The following is an 11,718-nucleotide window of genomic DNA, read 5'->3' on the forward strand; positions in this document are numbered from 1 at the left end:
CTGTTGCCCAGGCTGGAGGGCAGTGGTGCGATCTTGGCTCACTGCAAGCTCCGCCTCCCGGGTTCGCGCCATTCTCCTGCCTCAGCCTCCCAAGTAGCTGGGACTACAGGCGCCCACCACCAAGCCCAGCTAATTTTTTTGTATTTTTAGTAGAGACGGGGTTTCACCGTGTTAGCCAGGATGGTCTCGATCTCCTGACCTCGTGATCTGCCCACCTCGGCCTCCCAAATTGCTGAGATTACAGGCATGAGCCACTGCTCCCAGCTGATATTAGAAGTATTATAGATGAGGCATGTTATATACATTCAACTCAACTATACATGCCTGACCAAAGCAGAAAAAAGAAGCAAAAAAGACATTCACACACACACACACACACACACACACACACACACACAATATGGCAGCCATGAACGTGTACCCCTTAAATCTCCCTTTAGGCAAAATTTGCCATTCAGCTACAAGAAGTGCAGTTGGCAGACAGCCTTCAACTTCAGCATCTTCAGAGTCTGCCTTGACTTTCAAGCTGAGGCCATGGACTTCTCAGGAGCTCCTAGCCAATGGCTGAGAACAACGTGAGTGCTAGGGCCAAAAGTGATATTCTTTCTTGCCAGTGTGGTGTTCCTCAGATGGGCAGTTGTTGATTTGGAGCTCCCTTTGAAGTTGGCCAAGTCTTTGTCAACTTTGGATCGCAGTCAGAGGCTCCTCCTGCCTGATCCTGCGTCCTCCCTCTTGTATCTTTCTCAGGCATTGCCCCCAAGAAACTGCACTCCTAACTCCATCTCAGCATCTGCTTCCCGGTCTGTCTCATCCCACTGACAAAGAGGTGAGACAGAGATGGGAATGACAGAGAGAGGAGAAGGAGAGGGAGAACAATTTACTTATTATTATTATTTTTCAAGTTCCAATTGTTTAATGGCATGGGCTTAAGAGAGATAACAATTTAAATGGGATGGGCAGAGACAAGTATGTGCTCCAGAGGGAATGCGACGACAGAGAGCAGCCTCAGTCCCCATTCTCCTGTGAGAATGGCTCCTGTCTGAGTATGATTTTCATGCATAATGTCACATGGCCTCTGTATTAGTCAGGGTTCCCCAGTAGGATATGTACATAGAAAGAGATTTATTATAATAAGGCATTCCCTCATGCAATTATAGAGGCTAAGTCCCTATATCTGCAGTTGGCAGGCTGGAGACCCAGGAGAGCTGAAGGTGTAGTTCTAGTCCAAGTCCGAAGACCTGAGAACCAGGAGAGTCAGTGGTATAAGTTTCAGTCTGAACCCTGCAGGTTAGAGACACAGGAAGAATGGATGCTTCCGTCCAAGTCTGAGACCGGAGAAGACACATGTCCCAGCTCAAGCAGTCAGGCAAGAGGAATTCCCTCTTAGCCTTTTTTCTGTTCACGTCTTCAATGGATTGGATGAGGACCATCTACACTGGGGAGGGTGATCTACTTGACTCAGTCTACTGATTCAAATCTTAATCTCCTCCAGAAACACCCTCACAAACACACCCGGAATAGTGTTTAGTCAAATGTCTAAGCACTCCATGGGCCAGTCAAGTTGACACACAAAACTTGCCACCCCAGCTTCCTACAGAAGCCAACTCCCTCAAGAAGAGATGAAGATTCGGCTCTATGTTGGTGGCGTGGCGTTGTGTACCTAGAACAATGGTAGGCCACTCTCTGAGTCCCTGTGGGGATTTTCTAGGGTAAATCAGACCTTGATTCATGTTCACTGTCCTTGCTGATGAGTCCTTATCACCCCCCAGACTGCAACTCCTACAGCCGTTAGATGTTATGCTCACTTTCACCCCATCCCTCAGACTCAGACCTTCGCATTCAATCCCAGGGCTTTGGTCATGGGTAGTTCCAGCTGTCTGCACCTCACAGTTGACAACCCCTCACCTCCTGCCTCCCCAAGGCCACTCTCTCCCCGTCGCACCCAGGCTGCCAGGGTGACTTTCAAAACACTCTTCTTTCACTGTAGACCCATAAGATGTGGGAACTGGCAGGGACTTTAGAGACAGTGCATCCTCTCTGATCTTCCTTGCAGGATTACAGCTGGGAAACTGAGTTCCAAAGGCAGGAAGAGACTTGCCTGGGGAGGCTGCTCTGGTCCTCAGGCCCTGGTCTTCGTGTGGGTCCCCAGGTGTGGTGGAAATGGCGGGGTGGTGAGAGAGGGCTGGGGTCATGATGGATGGAGAGGATGTGAGTAGAGTGATTGGGAGGAGTGGGGATGGGAGGGGGACTTGTGGGTGTGTGGCAGGTGTGTGTGCAATGTGCACACGTCTGCATATGAGCATGTGTGGCTCCTACCAAATGACCCCAGGTGATGGAATCTGGAATGGATGGGGAAAGGGAGTTGGGCAGGAGCCCAGCAGTGTCAGCTAGTTAATAGATAAAACCCATTCTTTGGGATTCTCATTAGGGCGCTGAGGTCTCCATCCACTTCAGACTCAACTTGTGTCCATACAGACCTCACTGAGGGCTTCCAGCAGGCTGTTCTGCTCCCAGCTCTCCTGGGAGGAGTGGGCGTGGGTTTTAATTCTTGCCCAGAGCCCTGCTGACAGGTGGTGCTCTGTCTGGAGGCGAACCTGGGGCCCAGCTCGGTGGAACCATTTTCAGCTGTGTACCCCAGTAAGTGCTTGGCCTTTCAGATCATAGTTTCTCTCATGTGCGTAAGAAGGGGTGGGTCAGGATGGAGGCGGTTTCCAAACACCAGTCTTCCATGCCAACATCTGCCCCCTAGACTTGGCAAAAACCAGAACAATAAGGACAATGCCATAAGTTGTTCATGAAACTAAATGCATCCAGTCTAATGGATTATCCTTTATTCTGAGATGACGTCCTTCCTTTTTTTGATATTCAAATGCCCTTTTGAAAATCAAATGATAGAAACTCTGTGTGTGTGTGCACGTGTGCGCATTTGTATGCTTGTGAATAAAGGCATGCTGATGAAAGAAAGGCAGTGCTTATCATAGTGTGGTCTGAGAATGCCTGGAGGTCCCCAAAACACTTTCAGGGGGTTTAGAAAGTCAAAACTGTTTTCATAATAGTACTAAGATGTCATTTGCCCTTTTTACCCTGTTGACATTTGCACTAGTGGTGCAAGAGCAACAGCCAGTAACCTGCTAGTCTGGTAGCACGCATCAGGCTGGGACGTTCTTGCAGTAAAACAAAAAAGAGAAAAAGAGACAATGTCACTTAAGAATGTCCTTGAAGCAGAAAAATTTATTAACTTCTTCATTTTTCAACCCTTGAGTACAAGACATTTTAATATTCTGTACAACCAAGTGAAGGTGTGCATGAAACATTTCTCCTGCATACTGAAGTATAATAGTTGTCTTAAGGAAAAGTACTTGTGCAATTGAGTTGTTAGCTGACCTAGCTGAACATCATTTTTACTTGAAAAAGGAAGACTAACAGAAAAATTATGGTTATGCAATCTCAAGTATTGGTAGACATTTTCTTGAAAATGAATAAAGTGTGCCAGTCACTTCAAGGAAAATAATGGACCACATTTGTCACCAATGATAAAATTCAGGCTTTCAAGATAATGGAGATAAATGCCTGGAACAGGGTGGCTGTCCAATAAAGTCTGTCTTTCCCCTCTTTCTTCTACTCCTATTTCCTCCTCTTTTTTTTTTTTTTTTTTGACAACGTCTGACTCTATCGCCTAGGCTGGAGTGCACTGGTGCCACCTCAGCTCACTGAAACCTCCGCCTCCCAGGCTCAAGCCATCCTCCCACCTCAGCCTCCTGAATAGCTGGGACTACAGGCACACACCACCACACCCAGTTTATTTTTGTATTTTTCTTTTTTTTGTAGAGATGAAATTTTGCCACATTTCCCAGGTTGGTCTTGACTTCCCTCTCTTCTTGGTAGAGGTTAGCTCCTTGGCCCTGGCTGGCAAAGTGTCTGAAAATTGACACTCTTCAGTGTCAATTTTCCAATGAGATGGGGTAGGAGGTATTGGTTTGGGCACGGAGTAAGCTGCTGTAAGAACAGTCCCCCAAATACAGCAAGTTCAACAAGATGGAAGATTATTGCTCTCATGGAAAACTCTAAGCAAGGAAGGGGTCTGGGAATGGAAGGCAGTTTGACTCCATGAAGTGGATCAGGAATTCAGGTAACTTCCATCCTGTGCTCTGCCCTCTCCATGGTGGAAGCTGGATCTCTGTGCTGTGTCTATGTTTCAGTCTGCAAGAAGGCAGGGAGAAGATGGGAAGGGCTAGCACACATTGCTTCTGTTCACATGCCATTCACATATGGCCACATGTAACTGCCTGGGAGGCTGGAAAGTAGTGTAGTTTCTAGTAATATGGCTATTCTATGACTAAAAAGAAAAAAGGGAGAAAGGATTCTAGGGGATGGATGACAGTTTCTGCCACAATATGAGTGGGGTAGGATCAGAGGAGAAAAATGTGGGAATAGCAGAAATGTAGCACCTATGAGCTCACAGCTTCAAAGAGATGCTCAGGTGAAATCCCAGAGAGGCCCACCTAGACTCAGCACCCTGCTGCTGCTACCTCTTCTCACCTCATCAGTCTGTGCATGGTATGTAGGCCACGTGTCTTTGCATTTCCTCCAAACATCTGAACATGGTGGATCTAGAAGGCACTTTAGAGATCCCCTTTTATTCTGTAAAAGGAGAGGCACAGCCCCAGAGACAGAAGACTCTTGACCAATGACACACAGCAAGTCAGAGTTGGGATTGGGACTAGAACCAAGCTTTCCCACTCCCCAGGCCCATAGCTCTCTTGCCATAGCCCACAATATCTCTTTGATGATGCACCAGGCCCTTTCCCTTCTGATACATCAGATGGCTCCCTCCCTGAGCTGACCACCTGATTCCTTATCCTCTGTTACCTTGAAAAGCATGAATATACGTTAAATAGGAAAGGAATGAAGCAAACATGTATCACACAGTCGAAAAGAAGAATAGGCATAGGCATGTAGTGTAAGAAAGGTTATTCAGGGAAGGGGCATTTCCATCCCTTTTTATTCATACACCACCCAAGAGTCTTTTGAATGCAGGTGCAAAAATCCCACTGAAACCTGCTTACAAAATTAAGGAGGATTTATTGGCTTATATAGTCTCCAATTCCATATTTTTAGGATGGGTCACTTTTAACACCCTACTCCTGATACCAATTTCTACATCACTTGAGATGTCTTGTTGACAAGCAGTAACAATGGGCTCTGACTAAACTGAGACTTTTGGGCATTTATTGGAATAATCCTGGGGTGGTCTCAATGAAAGGACTGAAGAAAGGGCTGAAGAACCAGATCTGGAACTTATATCTCAGAGGATATCAGCAGCAGAAGAGTCTGCTACCTTCCAACCCTGAGTCTGTATGCAGAGGCAAAGTGTGGGCAAAGGAATTCTGGTTGCATGCCTACCCTATCTGATACCAGAAGAAAATGGGGTAAACATGGGGAGCTATGACAGATAAAAACAATCACCATTATGCCTTTAATTTCCCCTATAAATGCATACTATCATTATCCACATTCGCTTATTAGATTTGTATTTTTTCTCATTTTAACTTAAAGAAATATGTATAGTTCTTATTGATGGCATCTTTCTAATGGGAGGCAGTACATGTAATACAACTTCTTGGCTTAATACTTACTAACTACATAACTTGGGCAAGTTACTCAACTTCTCTGAGACTTGATTTCTTCATTTTTAAGATGGGGATAAGAATTCCTTGTAGGGTATTTGAGATCATTAAGATAACTAATGCATGAAAGGATTTTAAAGTAGAGTGGTGGCCATTTTTATCATTTAAATTTTCCTCTCTCTTTACTGTCTTAGGCTGGATTCCCAGAAGCAGACTCTTAGTGAAGGAAATGTATAGGGGATGAGAAAGTGGGGCAGGGAAGGGAAGCAGATCCGGCAAGGATCCGATATCAAGCAAACTCCCACAGAGGGTAATTTTGGCTCAATTCCACATGTGAACTTTGGAGACATACGAGTCACAACTCAGAGTTGCATGAGCAGGGAACAAGGGAGCTGGGGTATTGATACTCCCATGTTGCCAATCATTGGTTGCAGTGTCTGGCAAGCTGTAGAAAGCATTCTGACAATGAGATGCAAGTGTTGGCTGTTGGGAGTCAAAGCACACTGGGGATCAGGAAAAGGAGCAGAGGAGGTATGGACGAAACATGCTACCTGTCCTCAGTGGTGCTCATTTACACAATAGACTTGAAGAGTGTTTTAACAAAGGGGCCAGGGTTAGAGAAAGCATGAAGGTGAGACTCAGCAGCCTGTTCCATCTGGGTCAGAGGTCACTCACTCTGACTCCAGGACTTTTTTCTTGGAGCTGCCAATTTGCAAAGTATTTCGAAATAGTAGGCTCAGCAAACTTGGAAAGGCAGGATGCTCAGCTCAAAAGCTGAGAGTAATTGTTTAAAATATGGGGTTGAGCAATCAGGGATTCTCACCTGGAAGCCTTTTGCACCATGGCATTTTGCCAGCAGGCCCTGTGCTGGATCAGGCTGCACGCACTGGCCCAGGCTCACAGCAGTGCAAAGAAATGAGTGGTTGTTCCCACGGCCCATGTTTTGAGGGTTTAGAGGCAGGCTCAGATTTCACAGTTGGCAAGAGGTCCCTCTGCTCCGGTATTCTACCCGTACTTCCTGATTACCTGTAAGACCTCAGGCATTGACCTCGGCACTGGGGAAAACCTCACGTCTCACAAGACCACAGATAACTCTAGCTCCTGCGCTGCATCAAGAAGGACAGGCAGATCAAGCGTGTTGGAGGCATTGAGAAAAGAAACATCACTTTCCACCTGATCAAGAAAGGTCTCTTGAGTTGTCCTTGAAAAGAACAATCAAAGCGTCTTATTTAGCCAATAGTCTAAAAGTTATATATTTAATATTTATTTTAAGAACATTCACATGGCATTTACTACATGCCAGGAAAAGTTGAAGAGCTCTACACATATCAACTCAGTTCCTATTTGTAGGGAATGTGAAGCTTACTGGGGATGTTTGTGGGGATCTTGGCTGCCCAATGTGGGACCCCTGTTCCCTTTAGGTGTCTAACACATGTTCTCTTTCTCTTTGATGGCCAAGGCATGGCTGGCCAATGGGATGCTTCTCTCTCCAAAGGAGCAGGGAGAGCTGGAGATACCCTCCTTGCAAACAGCAGCTTGAGGATCCAGCGCCTGGTGCACAGGTAACCAGCAGTGGTCTCTTTCTCCACCTCAACTATGCCTGTGACCTCTTCTGACCCTGGCCACACCTGCCTGACTTTCCCTGCTTTCCGTCCATTTTTTTCTCAGTTTGATTTTACAGCCACCTTGGAGTCCCTTTTCTGTTAGGGTTCATGAGCATTGGATTCTGTTTTAGCACCCAGAACCTTGATTGGTTCAGAAGAGGAAGCTGGGAGATGAGGCCAGATGGAAACAAGACCAAGGAAGGTCTCAATTGCCAGATGAATTGTTTGTGACTTTAGCCTTTGGTCTAGTGGTTCTTAAGCAGGGACATGCTTTAGGATCATCTGATACTTTGGTTAGCTATTACCACAATAATGCTACATAACAAGTGACCTCCCACCCCAACCAGGGCATACAACAACAAAAATTTATTTTTCTCACTACAGGTCTGCAAATCGCCTGGGGTGACTCTGATGAACTTGATTAGTATTGGCTGAACTTGGGCCAGGGTACGGGATGGGTTCAAGCCTGTTCTGTATGTTTGTAATTTGGGGACTCAGGTTGAAAGGGTAGTGTCCATCTGGAGCAAACTCATGGTGAAGAGCTGGAGTGCAAGAGATAGGAGTGGAAATGTGCAATGCCTCTTCAGACCTTGGCTTGGAACTGGCACAGCATCACTTCTACCCATATTCAACTGAGCAGAACGCATGACACAGTCAAGTCCAACATCAGTGGTGTGGGGTAGTCCTGTCTGCTCACAGTGAATCGTGATACAGGGAGACAAGGAAGAATTGTGGACTAATAATTTAATCTATCACACAGGGGGTGTTTTTTCACAACCTGATATCCTGATTCCAACCCTCTGAGTGGAATTTTTTTTTTTAATTTTTTAGAGACAAGGTCTTGCTCTGTCACCCAGGCTGGAGTACAGTAGTGTGATCATAGCTCACTGCAGCCTCAAACTCCTGGGCTCAAGTGATCCTCCTGCTTTAGCCTCCTGAATACATGAGACTACAGGCATGCGCCACCATGCCCAGCTTATTTTTATTTGTATTTTGTGTAGAGCTGTAGTCTTGCAATGTTGTCCAGGCTGGTCTTGAGCTCCTGGTCTCAAGTGATCCACCCGCCTTGGCCTCTCAGGCATGAGCCCCCGTTCTCAGCTGGAATATCTGTATTTTGAAGAAGCTGCCCTGGTGATTCTGATGTGCATTCTCACGGGGTAAGTACTAAGTACCACTATGGACAATGAGAAGCCATTGAAGGCTTGGGCAGAAGAATGACATGAGCAGTTCTGGGCTTGGAAAATAACCTTGGGAAATAGGTGGCGGTAGAGGCTGGCAGATCTGTTAGTTAGCAAACTTGCATATGACCCAGAAGGGATGATGAGGACTTGAACTTGGTGTTCCGGGCACCTACTGCTGTGTAAGAAACCAGCACAAGACTCCGTGGCTCAAAAAAACACCTGTTTTTTTGGTTTGTTTTTTTCTTTTTTTGAGATGGAGTCTCACTCTGTCGCCCAGGCTGGAGTGCAGTGGCGCGATTTCGGCTCACTGCAACCTCCACCTCCCGGGTTCAAGCAATTCTCTTGCCTCAGCCTCCTGAGTAGCTGGGATTACAGGCACGTGCCACCACACCTGGCTAATTTTTGTATTTTTAGTAGAGATAGGGTTTCACTATGTTGACCGTGTGGTCTTGAACTCCTGACCTCATGATCCACCCACCTCAGCCTCCCAAAGTGCTGGGATTACAGGCATGAGCTACCGTGCCCGGCCAAAACAGTACCTGTTTTATGAGCTCTTGTGACTCGGGGGCTTGACTGGGCTTGGTAGGGTAGTTCTGCTCCATGGGACTGCAGTCAATGGGGACCCATTTGGGCCAGACATCCTGGATGGTACACACCCATGGCTAGCAGCTGTGGCTGGCTGTCTGCTGGAAGCTCAACTGAGGCTGTCGACTGACACACATACATGACCTCTCCATGTGGCTTGAACTTCCAGCACAGAAGCTGGGTCCTGAGAGGGAATGTTCCAGAAGTGTGCATTCCAAGAGGGAGAAAACAAGAGCTGCTTGTCCTCTTAAAGGCTAGGGCCAGCACAAGCATGGCATTGCTCTACCACATTCTGCTAGTTCAGTGGCCACAGGGCCAGCCCAGAGGCAAGGGCTTCATGGGGAGAATGATGAATAATGTATGTCCACCTTTAATCACACCTGGACAGTAGCAGTGCTGAGGGAGGGATGCAGACTCAAGAGAGGTTTAGGGAGAGTGGACAGGACTTGGCACCTCATTGTTCATGGAAGAAAGAACTGGGGATGCCAAGAAGGTGTTGCCCTGAGCATCTGTCAGGATGATCACTTTAATCCCTAGAGCCAGCCATGGGGTTCTGACATGGGGCAGCCTCTCTGCTAGGCGTTGCATGTGTTCTTTGGAAGGGAAAGATGATCGGCACCTTTGCCCAGGACACTCACAACCCTAATAGCATCGCATCCTAGTCAGATGAGCCAGGCTTCTCATAGAGCACTAATGGAAGCGGGCTCAGGACAGGTAAGTTTTGATAGCAGACGAGATGGAAAAAGAAAAATACTGGATGCTCCTGGGAGTTAAGAGGTGTAGAAGCCAGGATGGGATGTGGTATGCACAGGTCAGGGAGATGGACAGAGACTGGCCTCTGATTACCCTGAAGCAGTAAGTTCTTGCAGATGTTATCAGAGACTGAACTATTCCCCTGCCAGGGTGGCACAGGCCTCCCCCAAGTGGTGTCAGCTGATCCATGTGGGAGTCGAGATGGCAGCATCATGTCATAATTTCCCTCCATCCTTGGCCCAGGGCCATCTGGTGAAGGGTGTCCTATAGTTCCGCTGAATGGGAGAGAATCCAAAAATCACCTTACCGAACATCACTAAGGTCAAGCTGAGGCAGTGTATGATATATATTTTTATTTCTTTTTTCACTAAAGTATTTTTTTTTCCCTCCAGCTCCCTGGCTAAGCTGGCTTTCCTTCAGATCTGGGGCTTCTGGTCTCGAGGTCACCTGTGTTTCCGGGCCAAAGATGGTTGTTAACTTGTTCCTCGGATTGTTCAGTTTCTCATTCCTGTGCTTTGACCAAGAGGCCAAGTCCATCCATTTAAAGTCATCTCCAAAGACCGGGCTTGGTTCCGGACATGGCGGGACTGGCTCAGGCAGGAGGCTGACTCAGCCGTGAGAAACATTAATGCCTGCCCATGGTCATTCTCTTCCTTCGGAATGCCAGGCTCCTGGGGATTAGATGTAAGGAAACTTATAGAGGCGTCCCAGGGCCACCACTTATAAATCATGTGACCTTGGGCAAGCTAGTCCATAAAATATGAGACTCGCTATCTCCATCCATAATGTTAGACTAAGACCTCTCAGGCAGACCCTGAGTTCTGTGCATTGGACAGACCCTGAATTCTGTTAGGAGGACAATCTGCCTTCCTCAAGTAAGATAATGTCCCGCATCCCTCTTCCTTTGGGCGACTTCATTCTTCCCATCCAGACTGTGGTTGGGGTGTGGTCACCAATCAACTCCATCTGGCCACAGGATTGGGCAAAAAACTCAATCATGTGGACTAATCAAACTCCCACAGTGATTGGTCCAGGAATAGACACATGACCCAAGTTCCACCAATCAGATTCCTTCCCTAGGACTTTTTTCACCTGAGCTGGGGAAGAATTATCTTTTCACTCTCAAAGCAAGGTTGTTAGGTTCTAAGACTGAAGCTGCTCTTTATCTCTTCTCCCAACACCTGGCTTACATGAGCCCATAAGTTTCCCTTCTTCTCGGACTAGTTTCAGTTGGGTTCTGACAGTGTACCTTACAATCAAAAAGTCCTGAAGAAAGCGTTACTTTTTGATGCCATTGTAATAATGATAATGAGAGCCGCTTTATTATATGCCTCCGGTTTGCCAGGTTCTGTGCCAAGAGCTTCCATATATTATCTCATGGCTTACCTCGACCTGTAGTTATTTGTGTGCCTGGTGGCACTCCCCGACTGCACCTAACCTCCTGGAGGTTGATTTCATCTCAACATTGCCCAGGGCACCCCGCTTGGTGCCTGTCCTGCACCTGGTGCATGGCAGCCTGACAGCCCCTCAGGGGGTCACCTTGGAGGGTCACACAGAGACGTGCAGTCCGTCACCACACGTGTTCCACAGGTCACATGGAGTTGGCCCTCTGGCCAGAGGTTGGCTGGGGACTGATCTTCATGGGGTGGCTACATAAAAGTGGGAGCCCTCCCCACTCCTGCCTCTCCTGCCGACCCCAGCCTCAGCCCCTTCTTTCCTAAGCAGCCTTTTCTATTATTATTTTAACAGCTGGCTCCAGAATTTTTTCTGGATACTGTGTAGAGGGTATGGGGAATAAGGAACTTGCTGCTCCTGCTAAGCCACCCGGGGTGAAGGTGAGATCTCCCTAGGGCTCCAGCTGGCTTGTGGAGGAAGAAGTAGCATCTATGCTGGGACTGACAGGTGGGCAGGAGTCAGGAGTTGGGAGAGCAGAGAGGGGAACCGCACAGAGAGGACCCAGGCTCAGGA

The 11,718-nt window shown here is 47.3% G+C and overlaps 1 long non-coding RNA gene across 1 annotated transcript; it reads left to right on the top strand.

Moving 5' to 3' along the window:
* The first annotated feature begins 237 nt into the window (after positions 1–237).
* LOC124903771 (uncharacterized) lies at positions 238–2,968 on the top strand. The gene is made up of 2 exons (XR_007065195.1): positions 238–1,671; positions 2,054–2,968. It is a non-coding gene; the product is annotated as an uncharacterized LOC124903771 (long non-coding RNA).
* Positions 2,969–11,718: the final 8,750 nt, after the last annotated feature.

Source organism: Homo sapiens, chromosome 16 (assembly GCF_000001405.40).
Source record: "Homo sapiens chromosome 16, GRCh38.p14 Primary Assembly".
NCBI lineage: Eukaryota > Metazoa > Chordata > Mammalia > Primates > Hominidae > Homo > Homo sapiens.